Genomic DNA, 16,430 nt, shown 5'->3' with positions numbered 1-16,430 from the left:
TGTGACTAAGTGAAGCAACCTACAACAAAACCAATTTGTTTTTGTTTTTTATTTTGCTTTGTTTTGAGATGGAGTCTTACTCTGTCACCCAGGCTGGAGTGAAGTGACATAATCTTGGCTCACTGCAAACCCCACCTCCTGGGTTTAAGCGATTCTCCTGCCTCAGCCTCCCGAGTAGCTGGGACTATAGGCGCCCATCACCACGCCTAGCTAGTTTTTGTATTTTTAGTAGAGACAGTGTTTCACCATGTTGGCCATGCAGGTCTCGAACGTCTGACCTCAAGCGATCTGCCTGCCTTGGCCTCCCAAAGTGTTGGGATTATAGACGTGAGCCACCACACCTGGCCACAAAACTAATTTGACCATAGGCTAATTGATACAAATAAGAGTTAAGTTCCTACAGCATATTTCAGGTCACAAAAACATCACCAAACTTTGAGATAAAGACCCCAAACACTTCTAATGTTAAACATTGAAATAAATGTGAAAGGCTCAAACAAATTTAGATTTAAGAAAGACTCAAAAAAACACAAGTAAGATGATTATTTACCCAATTGTTCCAGTTCAGGGTCACAGGTGGCTGAGGCCTCTCCCGGCAGCTCAGGGTGCAAGGCCTGAACAGGACACTCACACCCACGCGCACACTCACGCAGGCTGGGACTATGTCGACATGTCAAGGATGGTGACATGGGGATATGGACCCAGATTCGCCGGCTGGTCTCTAAGACCAATCACAAGTATCCTTGCGAGAGGGAGACAGAGAGGGTTGAGTCTAGGGATGGCAGTGTGGCCGCCAGTGTGGGATTGCATGCAGCTGGCTCCAAAGATGAAGGCAGGGCCAGGAGCCCAGGAATGCAGCTCTAGACCTGGAGAAGACCAGGAATTGGATTTCCCCTTCAGCCTCGGAGAGGGCTTGGCTCCACTGACAGCTCGACTAGCTCAGGAAGACTGATTCCGACTTCTGGCCGCCAAGCTTGTGGTGACGTGTTACAGCTGCAGGAGGAGACCAGGGTACCCCGAGAAAGCCCACACAGACATGGGGAGAATGGGCAAACTCCACATAGACAGTGGCCCTGGCTGGGAATCTTTTTTTTTCTCATCAACATTATAATGAAATGGCATTATTTGCAGACCTGGGTGACTTAACAAAAACTTATTTTCTCACATTTCTGGATCCCAAAAGCCCAAGCTCGGGGGGTCGGCAGGATTGGTTTCTCCTGAGGCCTCACTCCTTGGCTTGTGGACTCCACCTTCTCCCTGTGTCGTCACATGGTCATCCCTCTGTGTGTGTCTGTGTCCTCCTCTCCTCCTCTTACAAGGACCCCAGTCGGATTGGATCTGGGCCCACGCTCATGACTTTCTTTCAACTTAATTGCCTCTTTGAAAGGGCTTATCTCCAAATATAATCACATTCTAAGGAACTTGGGGGTTAGGCCTTCAACACAGGATGCAGGGATGTGTTGAGCCCATAACAGAAGTCCTGGGTGCTGAGAGTTGGGGAAGGCAGGGCCCTGGGCTGAGAGACTAGCAGCGTAGGCCCATACAGGGTTGTACATTCAAATCTTCTAGAAAGGTTGGTGGTGGAAACCAGAAGATCAATGGACCCCAGGAAGACAGGCAGGGAACTCCAACCAAAGGAGACCCCTCCATGGGGGAGGGAAAGACAGAGATTCCCAGGGGGACACCATGAGCCATAGGGAGGAGGGGCCTCTGTGACTGGGCCTGTGGGGGGATGTGGGCTCGAGTCCTCTGTTCTCTTTAAAGATGGGGTACACCATCTTGCAGAAGAGGGGTCAGGGGAGGAGAAAAGGGAGCTGGCACAGGGCTGGGCCCTCCCATACTTGCCCCATCTTGGCTCCTTTGGACCCTGTGATGCATGGGGTGACATCATCTCCTTTGACAGATGAGTAAACTGAGGCTGAGGGATGAAATACTAAGTGATCCAGGGCTGCTAAAAGCTGAGGCCAGGGTCTGAAAGCACAATTCTGAGCACAGATTTCAGGTGAATGTTGCAATGTGTTTGGGTCTAGCTGGGGCAGGGGAAAGGCTGGATAGTATGTCTTGGGTTCACATTAATTAAAGAGTTGAAGCACAAAAGTATTTCTTCTCAAAATAATATAACAGCTTTGCTAGAAATGTGAGGAAGAAAATCCCACTCCCATCTTCATAACACTATCATTTTGCATATTTATTCCCCATCTAAATGCAGTAAAATTAATAACAGCTAAGCACTTACCGAGTACTTGTTCAGTACCAAGCCACTGTTCACAGGCTTGACAAGTATTAACATAATTAACCCTTAAAACAATACTAGGCCGGCCCGGTTGCTCGCGTCTGTAATCCCAGCACTTTGGGAGGCCCAGGCGGGCTGATCACCTGAGGTCGGGAGTTCAAGACCAGCCTGACCAACATGGAGAAACCCTGTCTCTACTAAAAATACAAAATTAGCCAGGCGTGGTGGCACATGCCTGTAATCCCAGCTACTCGGGAGGCTGAGGCAGGAGAATCGCTTGAACCCCAGAAGCAGAGGTTGTGGTGAGCCGAGATCACGCCATTGCACTCCAGCCTGGGCAACAAACGCAAAACTCCATCTCAAAAAAAAAAAAAACACACAACTTAAAAACACAGTAAAAGTATCATCCACACTTGTCACTGGTTTAATCAGGGAACAGTGTTCCTTCACTGTCTATGTCATATTCGTGAGTGTATTAGCTTCCCGTGGTTGCTGTAACACGTCACCACAAGCTTGGTGGCCAGAAGTCGGAATCAGTCTTCCTGAGCTAGTCGAGCTGTCGGTGGAGCCAAGCCCTCTCCGAGGCTGGAGGGGAAATCCATTTCCTGGTCTTCTCCAGGTCTAGAGCTGCATTCCTGGGTTCCTGGTCCCGCCTCCATCTTTGGACCCAGCTGCATGCAATCGCGTGTTGGTGTCCACAGGGCCGTCCCTAAGTTCAACCCTCTCTCAAGGACACTTGTGATTGGTCTTAGAGACCAGCAGGTGAATCCGGATCCATATCCCCATCTCACCATCCTTGACTTAATCCTATCTGCAGTCTCTCTTGCATTTTAAGGTAACATTCATAGGTTCCAGGGATTAGGGCCTGGATGAACTTGGGGCCAAAATTCACCCTGCCAAAGTGAAATTCGTCATTTTCTGCTCCGTTTAAGATTAGGAATCGTATCAGAATTAAATACTGTTCTCATATTTATTGTTACAGATTGGTCTCAAAACTAGAAAGAAAGGCTTTTGTTTTTCCTAGCAAATCTCCCCATATTGTATAACTCATCGGAAAGTGCTCAGCCTGACTCTGGCTAACTGGAGCTGCTCCTGTGGTCCAGTTTGGAAGGATCTTGGTTATGATCCTCACGAGAGAGCACACTCTGGTCTGCCACCCTTGAGACCTTTCCTCAGGGCATGATAACTGGAATAGGAGAGGGACTCTTGGCCTTATCATTAATAATAATGCATCATATAATTTAATCTTCATGAAAACCTACTGAACAAGGTTAATGACCTCTATTTTATAGATAAAGTTACTGAGGGTCATAGTGCTGAACTAGCCCTGTTAAGACCCCATGGCTGGTGAATGGCAGAGCCAGCAGGCAAAGCTAGTTCTTCACCCAGGGCATCAGTATCTGTCCTGGATGTGCAGGTGCCCAGCGTGGACTTGGGAAGGAGTGAGGATATGTAGAGCTTAGGCATGGAGGCTGTGAATGCACCTTCACGTGTATCATGGTTTCTATTATACAGGCAAGACTGACACATTAAGGGGACTTGGAAACTAGGCACAGTGGGAGACAGGCCAGTCTTTGCAGTGCCTCCTCTCCCCGTGGGTCTGGGAGCCTGGGCTTTCTTTTCGGACTTTCTCCCCCGACCCTGCGTGTGTCTCCCTCCCACAGAGCTGCAATCAGGGTTCACATCCAGTCTGGGTTCTATGTCTATGCCTGCTTGTGACATAGCCCCAGTGTGTTTGCAAGACCATGCAAAGTCTTCCTGTGACTTAGCCATTCCTAATAGACAGTTAAGCCACTTCCAGCTTCTCATCTGGAAGACTAAGTAATGCAGAGATTAATTTTTTTCAGTTGCAGAAACGTTTTTCTGAATTTCAATCATTTCCTTAGGTTTATAAGAATGTAGCTAAAACGGGAGACAGCAGAGCAGAGGCTGACAATGCTGAGTCCGGAAGTAAGACTGACTAGATTCTATAATGCTGTGTGGCTTTGAGCAAAAGTCTGCCCCCTCTGATCCTATTTCCTCATGTGTGAAGTAAGGGTAGCAGAACCCACCTGCAGGCTGTTAATGTGAGGATTCATTGAAACCACCAAGTTAAAGCTCTTAGCCTAAATGACTCAAGCTCAGGTGCTCTGAGTTGGCATTACCTGAATCTGCAATTACTGGCTTCGGTGTGAGGACGTTGAAGATTTCTGATGCATGGTACCTAATTGTTCAAATAACGTCTTTGAAGTACTATAGATGATCTTTAGAACTATATACATGAATATTATGCAAAACGTAATTTTGTCAGAACATCACATTGGCCCAGTGACAAAAACAATAATAATAATAATTTGGCCCTGGTGTCTGCAAAAGCCCTAGGCCATGTTGACTGCACCCTGAGCAAGTGCCTCCCTGCTTTTCATGCTGCAGAATTCAGGAGCTGGAGCTGTCAGAAAGGAAACTCCTCCGGAAGGTGGACCAGCTGAGCACCCACGTGGCCCAGGAGAGAAGCGCCTGGCTCCAGGCCCAGGAGAAGCTGGCGGCGCTGCAGGGGGAGCTGGCCAGCCAGGTACCGTTTCCTTCTCCTTTCCAGGCCCTGTTTCCTGTCCAGCAGAGCCGTGGGAACTCAGCAGCAGCTGCAGTTGGGCAAAGACAGTACAGGGTGGGCCTGGGAGAGCCCAGTCAGGAGGGTTAGAGAGATCCTACGTTCATGGTGCATGGCGTGACTGCGGGGCCTGGGGCATGCAGGGATGTGGGGGTGGGGGCTGTACACTTGCTGGAAGCTCTTGTGCCTGAGGACCTCAGCGCCAGGCCACAGACTGAGGACAGGAGTTGGCTGATGCAGGGCTCCTGGGGTCCGGAGCTCTTATGCAGATGGGGGAGACTGATAAGAAACAAATAACTCTAAACCCGGATGTGGGGTGCCATGGGGGAGTGTGCGATCCCCCATGGCGTGTGTTCAGGGGGCTAGGGGAGTTGAGGAGAGCTACAGAGAGCTGAGGCCATGTGAGCTGGGCCTTGTTGGGAAGGGCATGTGAGGCGTGGCTGACAGCACGGGGCCGTAGCACAGAGGTGTGGGAGAACACAGAGGATATCACCGTGCTGGGGACGGAGTGGGTGAGTCGGAAAGTTCCAGAGGGGCCAGGTGGCCAACTCCGCTGCATGGCCCAATTCTGAATACAATGGGGAACAAGCTTTAGGGGACTTAAGTAGGGAAGCCTCAGGGTCAGATGGTCATTTGGGGAATGCCATTCTCCCTGCATGGGAGAGAGAGATGATGGAGGCAGGGGGAGAAGTTCGAGAGCTCTCTGGAGAAGCAGTGGGCAGTTAAGGGTGGGGGGCTCTGGAGGCAGAGGCCTGGAGCCAAACCCTGGCTCTGCCACTCGATAGCTGTGTGACCTTGGGCAAGTGACTTAACCTCTCTGGGCCTCAGTTTCCTCATCTGTGAAGTGGGAATGATATAGTACCAATCCCCTCAGATTGTTGTGTGGGCTAAGTTGATACATGTAAAAGACTCCCAACAGTAGGTATTTAAATGACACTATCTGCTTTTATAATTATTAGCCATTACTAAAATTTTCCAGGGGAAGGACGATGGGGCTGGAGGGCAGGCCACTTTTAGGAAAGGCTGCAGAGGCAAAACCCACAAAACTTCACGGTAGCTGCATGCACCACCCAACTGTCCCTGGAGGCATCCTGTTCTAGTCTGCTGCTATTTAGGATGCAGCCAGGGATTTTCAAACTGCAGGTTGCAACCCATCTGTGGGATGTGAGATCGATTCAGGGGCTTACAACTAGCACTTAAAATCAGATCAATATAGACTAAGAAATATGCAAGCACATCGCACGTGCTAGAGGGAGTGCTGTTTTGAGAAACTTGTTTCAGCTGTACACAGGTGTGTGTATAATGAGCATGATGTTCACAGGTGTTTCTTATAGTGGGAAACTCAGAAAAGCTGGAAAAGCACTTGACATAGCTATTAGCTGAAATAGAAGTGGAAGTGGAAAGATAAGGATTCCAATTAAATTGAAAATAGTCCTTGAGATGCCAGGGAGATATCCTAGTGGAATTTTTTTCCCCTTTATACTGAACTTCAGGTGCAGAAAATCGAGTTACTTCTCCCTGGCTCATAGTACCTCATCATTACCATCCTGAGGGGAGTTTTATCATAGGTAGAGCGGCGTTGAGTGGGACTCCTCTGCCACTGATGTGATGTCTCCGTGGAAAATATTGTCACAAATACTTTTCGAGCCATGCCCTATGTGAATGTAGGATTTCCGAGGTGAATTGGACCCAGCCCTGTAATGATGTTCACAGTGTGATGAGGGGCAAAAGATGAGGGTGACAGCAAGTGACATGCTGTTAGGGAGTGAAAGGTACTGCAGGGACCAGCAGTTTCTGCAGGGGAACACTAAGCCCTTTTCTACACGCGTCGTCTTATTAAATCTGTCTCATGTGCTGTGTATGCTCCCGGGAAAGACTCATCACAAAACCCCATTTCCAGACAGGCGGCAGATGTTCAAAGTGATAGGGAAATTGCTTAGGGTCTCTCAGTTGCCCCTTGGCCCAGCTGCCACCCAGCCCCCAACCCTCTAACCCTAAATCTCTCGCTGCAAACATCTGTATTTTGAAGCGAGTTTTGCAGGAGTGCTTGAGCGAGTTTTCCATGCCCTTTGCACCTGTATGTACCAAATGGCAGTTTTGCTTTGTTGCTGCCAATGTTTCCAGTAAGCATTTGCATATGAAGATGCCTCGTTTCTGTAGTGACCTGCGGTCATTCTGAAAGCTGTCAAAGGCAGACCATCTAGGCTCTGAAATCCCTCCACCGGGCACCATGCAAAGATCATTACAGAATACACGCCTTCAGGAAGACCAGGAGAATTGTCCTCCCAGGGAATCTGACCCTGACTTTTATCTGCCCCACGTTCCCCAAAACTATCAAACAAAGCTTGTCTGAGCTGTTTCCAGGTTTCCTCTTTCACGTTTGCTCTTAGTTTGTTTGTTTTTGTTTTCCGGAAGCTCCCCGGCAGAAGAGCAGCGGCAGGTGACAGTAGTTGAAAGATTAACGTAGACGTAGTTCTATCCCTTTGCTTGAATTAATTCTGAAAAGTAGGCAACGGCTCTAATTTTCGCAGTGGGTTGTGCACCCCAGTCCAGCTCACGGCCCGTGGGTGGGAGGAGGCAGATGTGTTCCCAGGCCAGGCAGGTGGGCAGATGAAAGAAGAAAAGGCCTGAGTCAGATACAAGGCGCTTGGCATCCTGGCCGCAGTGAATTTTAGCTGCGTGATATGCAAGTCACTCCTGAGTGTCTCTCAGGCTAGTAACGTACCTCCCTCCAGGTGGAGTATCCACAGTAATGACAGCTGCTGTGGCACTGGTATTGCGACTCACCTGCTGGGGCCAGCTGACCCTGGGTGGGCCAAGCATTGACCCTGTAGGTAGGAAGTGGGGATCTCTGGGCAGTTCTGTGGTGGAAGTGGGGACACCTGGGAGGCTCTGGAGCAGCTGTGTGCACTCAGGTGCGGACGTATTCAGTATCCGGACATCTCCAGCGGCCCTCAGGGTGTGTACTCGCTGATGGCCATCCTGCCACCTGCACAGCTCCCTTCCAGGACTCAGGGAGCTGTTGAAGGTGCAGGGCCCAGACTAGGGTGGATGAAGTGAGGGAGACACTTGCCTCCGTGCAAAATTTAAGAGGATGCCAAAACAGTCAAAGAGATAATACTTTGATGCACTATTACAATGCACAAAATGCAAAAACGCACCATGCACAAAATACAGAAATGTTAAGTCAAGACAGGACCAATGTGAACCATGGTGTGTCCTTTGGGCTTGCTGACGCCCTCATCCACCGCCAACTTGTAGATCCGGGAGGAGAGCGTGGCCAGGCGGCAGCAGTGGCGGCTGCGGCGGTTGCAGGAGCGGTTGCGGCGCAAGGACGAGGCACTGGGGCAGCAGGCGGCGGCCCTGGAGCGCTGCCGGCGGACCCAGCGGCGCCAGCTGGGCCTGGTGCGGGAGCAGGAGCGCGTCCTGCGGGAGCAGGTGCAGCGGCTGGAGCGCAACGTGCGGCGCCTCTGCCGCGCCGCGGGCCTCCTGCTGGCCCAGTGGGACACCGCGGCCCCAGGCTCCCAGGGCGCCACCGAGGCGGCTGCGGAACTGCGCGCCCTGCAGGCGAGGGCAGAGCGCAGCGAGCGCGAGCGGGAAGAGGCGGCGCGCAGCCTGCAGGAGCACCGGGCCACCGAGCGCCAGCTCCGCGGGCAGCTGGAGGAGCTGCGCTGCTGCATCTATGGGCTGAAGCTGTCAGAGATTGGCCTGCAGGGCCAGGTGGAGGACCTCGCCCAGCAAAACCAGTGCCTGCGAGAGGAGCTGGGAGCCCAGGCCCCTATTGGTCACTGCAGCCTGGTAAGTGGCGGGAACTCAGGGTAGGAATGATCTTTTGCCTTTCTCCTTCTCCTCCAGCCACTTGGTGAAGTCATTGGCCCATCCATTCCCCGGGCTCCTCTTCCTACAGCCGTTTAACCCTGCCAGCCCTGTCCATCGTCCTTCACTGCATCTACTCACCTCCCCACCCACCCTCCCATCTAACCTCACATACTCATTCAGTGCACGCCCACCTCATTACCCATCCACCAACCGTGTCCACTCACCTGTCCATCCTCAGATGCACACACTTGCCCATCATCCATCCATCTACCTATCCAACCACTCGCCCACCTACCCACCATCATTTTGCCATTCATCCTAACACCTGTTTGTCCACGCAGCCACTTATGAGCCCACTTACTAAACCACTTGTTTTCCCATTGTTGAAATCTGTTTGGGCTTTTATAAAAAATACCATAGATGGTGGCTTATAAATAACAGAAACTTATTTTTCACACTTTTGGAGGCTGGAGGTCCAAGATCAAGGCACCAGCAGATTTGGTGTTGGGGGAGGGCCTGCTTCCTGGTTCACAGATGGTGCCTTCTCACTAGGTCCTCACAGGGCAGGAGGGAGAGGGAGCCTTCTGGGGTACTAATTAGTAAGGGTACTAATACCATTCATGAAGCCTCCACCCTCAGGACCTAATTACCTCCCAAAGACTCCACCACCTGACACCCTCACATTGAGGATTAGGATTTCCACATAAATTTGGTGGTGGTGGGGAACACAGCCATTCAGACCCCAGCACTCACCCACCCACTTGTCTAGCCACGTTCCATTATCTTCTCATTCACCACACCATGTGTTCATCTATCTACCCCTCTGGCCACTGGTCAGGCAGCCAACCAGCCACCTTGTATCCCTTATTGTCCACTCACTCTTGTCCATCCATCTGTCCAACATCCAATGAGTTCCTGCTGACAGCCAGGCCCTGCGCTAGACAAAATCTTCAACATGCTGTGCCATGGGACTCATATGTGCTTGTGAAGTCCAGTCCCTCTCCTCTGGAAGCAGTCATCTCTTCTCCCACTTTACCTGTAGCACCAAAGGTGACAACAGTACCCTGGTGGCAATTCTGTGCTTGCATCTTCAGTTCTCCCTCTTTAGACTGTGAGCTCCTTGAGGTCAGGGTCCAGACATGATGGTCTTTGCAGCCTCAGTCCCCATAGCAGCACACAGGAGGGCCCCAGCACTGTGGAGTAGAGAGCACACAGGGTAGGGTCCCTTCCTGGTTTGCATATTTACTCGCTGTGTGACCTTGGGCAAGCTTCTTAAACTCTGGAGGGCAGGCTGGACATGTGTTGATTCATTTGATTGAGGGGAGGGTAAAAGCTTACATTTTATGTATTCCTACTGTGTGCTCGGCTCCATACTGGGTGTTTGCAAAGACATTATTTCATGTAATGCTTATGAAGGCAGGTGATATTCGCATCTTCCTTTTGCATTTGAAGAAGCTGAGGCTCAGAGGACAGCATCTTTTAACTGTTGTCACACAGCTATTAAGGGACTGAACTGGAATGTGATCAAAATTTGATGAGAGTCCAAAGTTTATTGTTTCTACTGTAGCAGCCTGCCTTCTGCAATGGAAGCACTAACTCAGCTCCCACAAAACATCTACAGCCTGCCTCCCCGCTGTGGCTCAATTTGCATTTAAGGAAAAATGAGTGAGCAACCTTAGCCCAAAGAGGAGTGCTCATTTTTTGGAAATAAAATTTATCTTTAAACCTGGACAATCCATTTAAAATTACCTGGAACCTTAAATGATCTGAATTTTCTCAGGATTGTAGTAATGTATTAACGGCTTCATCGGTGGTCTTAGTTGACCTTCTTACTGCTTTATCCTCCTATTCTCGCTGTTGTACATTTCCTGTTTGTTCTTCCTCCTTATGTTCATCAGATAAAAGGAAAACAAAGTGTATAACATTGGCAACTTGTTGTAATTTTGGAAAACAAGTGTGCACAGATGGAAATTGTCATTTAAAATTCTCTCTGTAATTTTCCTAAACGTAAGACTTTAGGCTGTTGGCTTAAGTCCTTCTTCCCCCAATCTCTCCATTCATCCTATCTTCCTCTTGTAAAAGTCCCAGTGGCCCCGGGGAACTGCACCTCTCATGGGGCTTGGCTTTCAAGGCTGCACTGCAGGCTGCTGTGTACAGTCGCACTTCTCAGAAATAGCTACCTGCTATTTCTTGAAGATGGTTATCTGGGAGATAGCACGAGTACCTATGTATTTAGGAAGTACTGCTCATGTCTTGGCCATTCTGTTTTCTCATGTAATCCTTAGGACAGCCTTGTGAGACAGGTGCTGTTTACCCACTGAACAGATAGAGAAGCTGAGACCCAGGGAGTTTAAGTGACATCATCACAGGCACCAGCTGTTAAGTATCATGGCCAGCAAGAGGACATGGCCAGAGCAGAGCCGTGACTTCTGCCTGCTGCCCAGACCTCGAGATCCTGGGATCGGAGTTTGTTATTGAGGAGCCTAGGGCAGCAGCAGTGGCTGTATTTAGTAGATTCTATGCCATAAGCTCCCTGGCTCCTTGTCAATGTGTGTCTGTGACCTTCTCAAGGTTTCATGCTTCCTCTTATAAAAGTCCCAGTGGCCCAGGGGAACTGCACCTCATGTGGGGCTCAGTTCTCAAGGCTGCACTCTAGGCTGGCCTGCACAGTCACACTTCTCTTGAAAGCTCCCTAAATTGCCCATCAAGTGTGGTCCCCAGCCACTTCTGCCTCGGTCTCTCATCAGCAGAGTAGCTGAGAAAGCAGGGTTGTAGCCCAGGAACCTGTGGAGTGTAGAATGCTGAGCCTTCAACATTGGAGTGGAGCAAGATGCTCATACTCAGAGTTGCAGGCAGGAATGCAAGTGGAGATGATGGAGGATTCCAGCACAGCTCTGCCTCCTACCAGAGGAGATGCTTTCAGGCAGGTTCCTAAATTCTCTGTACCTCAGGTTCCCAAGTGTGAAATGGGACTAATACTGGGATGATGATGATACTAGTGCATCCTGGTGTGGTTGTGAGGATGAAATGAGAAAGTACAGGGAAAGCTCTTAGCTCAGTGCCCGGTATATTTTGAGTGATCAGTCAAATCTAGCTTCTTTCACTGTCAGCATCATCACCACCATCACCATCACCATCACATCATCACTATCACCATCATCACCAACATCACCATCACCATCACCACCATCACCATCGCCGTCATCACTGTCATCACCATCACCATCATCACCATCATCACTATCATCACCATCACATCATCACCACCATCACCATTATCACCATCACCACCACCATCAACATCACCATCACATCATCACCATAATCACCATCACCATCACAGTCACCATCACCATCACCACCACATCATCACCATCACCATCATCACCAACATCACCATCACCATGACCACCATCACCATCATCACCATTACCACCCTCATCACTATCACCATCACCATTGCCACCCTCCTCCTCATCTCTTCCTGGGCTTGTGCTCATCTCATCACCATCACCATCATCACCATTACCATCACATCATCACCACCATCACCATCATCACCAACATCTCCATCACCATCACCACCATCACCATCATCACCATCACCATCATCACCATCACCGTCATCATCACCATCACCATCATCACCATTACGATCACATCATCACCACCATCACCATCATCACCAACATCACCATCACCATCACCACCATCACCATCACCATCATCACCATCATCATCACCATCACATCATCACCATCACCATCATCACCATCACCATCATCACCATCACCATCATCACCATCATCACTATCATCACCATCACCATCATCACCATCACCATCATCACTATCACCATCATCACCATCACCATCATCACCATCATCACTATCACATCATCACCATCACCATCATCACCATCATCACCATCACCATCATCACTATCACATTATCACCATCACATCATCACCATCACCATCATCACCATCATCACTATCATCGCCATCACATCATCACCATCACCATCATCACCATCACCATCATCACCATCACCACCATCATCAACATCACCATCACATCATCACCATAATCACCATCACCATCATCACCATCACCATCATCACCATCATCACTATCACATCATCACCATCACCATCATCACCATCATCACCATCACCATCATCACCATCACCATCATCACCATCATCACTATCACATCATCACCATCACCACTATCATCACCATCACCATCATCACCATCACATCATCACCATCACTATCATCACCATCATCACTATCATCACCATCACCATCATCACCATCATCACTATCACATCATCACCGTCATCACCACCATCACCATCATCACCATCACCACCATCAACATCACCATCACATCATCACCATAATCACCATCACCATCACAGTCACCATCACCATCACCACCACATCATCATCACCATCACCATCATCACCAACATCACCATCACCATGACCACCATCACCATCATCACCATTACCACCCTCATCACTATCACCATCACCATTGCCACCCTCCTCCTCATCTCTTCCTGGGCTTGTGCTCATCTAGTAGGATGTTGGGTAAATCACCCTCACTACCTACACTGTAATTTTCTCTCTCTTGACTTTTTATTTATTTTTCCTGAGGGCTTATCCTGGACTGGAACAGTTTAGATGTGAGTGTAATTTGTCACCATTGAGCTGCCTGAATGGCTGGTGGGAGCTCAGGCCAACATGTCCCTAGGGTGGATGGGGCCTGCGGTTACCAGCTCCTGTGTCCCAGCAGCCTGTGGATGGGCTGGGGAGACTCAGAGAACTGCAGTGGCCTTGTGCAAAGGGCCATCTGGGGACGGCTGTCTGGGCCAAGGAGCTGAGAGCCTTTACCTAGGTCTGCTGCAGGGCAGAGCAGGTGGGTGAAGCCCCCTGTCTGGCAGAAGACCTGGGATGTGAGAGGAGGTGAGGGGAAGGGGCTGGCTTTCATCTTGGGAGCTGCCCATCTGTTACTCACTTAATCCTCAAGCGACATGGCCAGGTAGGTGTCCTCCTGTCTGCTTCATAGAGGAGGCAGAAGGCTCAGAGATGCAGTGTCCTGTCCAGGGTCACACAACCAAGGAGTGAGGCCCCGATGTAATTCCCATTCCCTGCCTTTCCTTTCATATCCACCCAGCCTCTTGGGCTGGGAGTTTCCCAGAGGCAGCGGTGGGTGCTCATGCAGCTGAGAGCCGCCCTCCAAGGACATGAGGATGGCACCAGCAGCGACCCTGAGTCAGGCTGCCAGGGATCTGAGCCCACCTGGTGGGGGGAAGCTCTGGGGCAGGAGAGCATTGTCTGAGTGGGCAGGAGGGGCCCCAGCCAGCCACAGGCCTAGGGACAGAGTGACAGCAGCAGGCAAGGTGTTCCCAGCTGGTTTGGAGCTAGCTGCTGCAGGTAAGGGCCAGATCACCTGGGGTATTCCCGGGGCTGCAGGTTGGGCCTTGAGGAAACAGGCAAGGCACAGCATGTTATTTTCCTGGGGCTGCTGTAACAAAGTACCTCAAACCTGCTGACTTAAAACGGCAGACATTTATTCTCTCCTAGGTCTGGGAGCCAGAAGTCGGAAATCAAGGTGGCAGTGGGGCCATGCTTCCTCCTGAGGCTCTAGGGGACAGTCTGCTCCTTGCCACACCCAGCTTCTGGTGGCTCCTGGCAATCTTTGACTTGCAGACGCATCACTCTGATTTCTGCCTCCATTTTCTCTTGGCCTCTTTCCTCTGTGTGTCTGTTTCTGTGTCTCTTCTCTTCTTATCTGGACACCAGATCTTTATTGGATTAGGACCCAGCCTAATCCAGTATGGCCTCACCTTAATTTGATCACATCTGCAAAAACACTATTTTCAACTAAGGCCACACTCTCAGGTACTATTTCTTTTGGGAAGGCACAATTCAACCCACTCCACAAAGTTATGTGGCAGATGACGGCTTATGGTCTCTTCTCCTCCTCCAGGTATTCCCTGACCCCAGGAGCCTCTTTTGTCCTCCCAGGGCCCTCACATGCATGGCTGTCAGTGCTGGGCTGAGCCTCCCAAGGGCAGGGCTGGGGCTGGGTGTGCTCTGCCTTCCCGGTGTTTGCTGAGTGCCGCAGGCACACTGACATGCTATACATTTATTTATTCATTCATTTACTTCAGCCAAAACATGCATCTTGCAAGACAGGCACTGTCCTCTTTATTTTCTGCTGCATTCCCAGCACTAGCACAGTCCTTGGCACAGAAGAGGTGCTGGGTGAATATTTATTAAGTAAAAGGAGGAAGGAGGGAAGATAGCACTGACTCTCTGTTATCAGAGCCTGTGTGGGTTGAGGCCCCTTTTCAGCCCTGTGAGGCGGCAAGCAGATGATCTGGCTTCTTGGCTCGTTTAGGACACTAGTTTCTTGGGACATGCCATCTCCCCTGTGGATTTCTACTGGATGAGAAATAGCGGTAATTGTCTCCCTGGTGGTGTCAGAGGGAAGAACCCAAGAGACCGTGATTGCAGGAACCCGCTGAACAAACGCTGGATAACATTCTCAGCATAAAATATCATGGAACACGAACTCCTGACCTAAAGTGACCAGCCTGTCCAACATGGTGAAACCCTGTCTCTACTAAAAATACAAAAATTATCTGGGCATGGTGGCATGCGCCTGTAATCCCAGCTACTCGGGAGGCTGAGGCAGGAGAATCGCTTGAACTCTTGGGGGCAGAGGTTGCAGTGAGCTGAGATCGCGCCATTGCACTCCAGCCTGGCAGAACGAGACTCTGTCTCAAAAAATAAAAGAAAAAAATGTCATTGGGTAATCACTGATTCTGCCTTCCAGCAGTCTAAAACCATGGCCCTTGAAAAACCAGGTTAGGAGAATTTCGACTAGCAAGAGGCTTGCTTTGGCTGTGTGTGTGTATCCATTTTATCATGGCTTTTGTGTTTCTGGTATCACTTGCTCTAACTTCCGGTGGAGGTGGGCTCTCCTGCCACTTACCGATGGGTTGCCCTTGGAGGGGACTCAGCACCGCTTCCTAATAACATCCCTTTGGGGATATGGGTTTTAACGGATGAGTTTTGGGGGGACATGAAAATTCAGACGGTAATATGGTGGGACCAGGATTTGCCCTTTGGTGAGCTGATCCCATAGCTGTGTCGCACGCCCTGTTTCTTCAGTAAATACTGGTCAACAGGTCAACAGTCAGGATTTGATGGTACCCACTTGGTGCGTGTGCTTGGCTCCAGTCTGAGCTCAGTACAGGGGCTGGGGAGTGAGACAAGACCCTGCCCCACAGGATGACAAAACAGATTGGGTGAAGGAGGTAGGGGCAGAGGAAAGGCAAGGAAATGAGCCCTGTGGAGTCCGTGGGTCACTGGGGGAGGACCCTGGTGTTGCAGTGGGGGCTGGACCCAGGCTGCAGCATGTGACAAGGCTGCCAGTCTCTGTCCATCTCTCAGAAGGAAGCTGATGGCCCACAAACAGCATCTTGAGGTCAAAAAGGGCTGCCTGGAAAGGAAGAATTCCTCCTGAGAGGGCCACTGGGAAATGTGAAGAGCTAGCCAGCCACCAGCTCTCAGGTTGAATGCAGCCTGGAATTTATAAATTAAAGTGTTAGAACCCATCGATAAGGAACTGCAAAGCCAGATGCGGCTCTTCATGTCTTGGTGGAAATTGCATGAGCCTCAGTGGCCATGGCTGTGGCTTCCAGGCCTCTGCACATCTGTGAAGTCGCAGAGTCCAGAGAGCATCGCATGCTGTGTGACTGCCCAAGG

The 16,430-nt window shown here is 50.2% G+C and overlaps 1 protein-coding gene across 7 annotated transcripts in view; it reads left to right on the top strand.

Annotated features, from left to right (window-relative positions):
* C4orf50 (chromosome 4 open reading frame 50) overlaps positions 1-16,430 on the top strand; it is a 120,960-nt gene that overhangs the window by 1,933 nt on the left and 102,597 nt on the right. For 4 of the 7 annotated variants that reach the window (XM_047415663.1, XM_047415664.1, NM_001364689.3 and 1 more), the window contains exons 2-3: positions 4,646-4,784; positions 8,082-8,618. In XM_047415663.1, coding sequence (XP_047271619.1) covers positions 4,646-4,784; positions 8,082-8,618 — 676 coding nt within the window. The remainder of the gene's footprint in view (positions 1-4,645; positions 4,785-8,081; positions 8,619-16,430) is intronic. The other 3 variants (XM_017008893.2, XM_047415667.1, NM_001364690.2) reach the window with 1 other exon arrangement.

The sequence above is a fragment of the Homo sapiens genome, chromosome 4 (genome assembly GCF_000001405.40).
Source record: "Homo sapiens chromosome 4, GRCh38.p14 Primary Assembly".
Classification (NCBI taxonomy): Eukaryota; Metazoa; Chordata; class Mammalia; order Primates; family Hominidae; genus Homo; species Homo sapiens.
The sequence above is the reverse complement of the archived record's forward strand: the minus strand, read 5'-3'. Positions and strand labels throughout refer to the sequence as shown.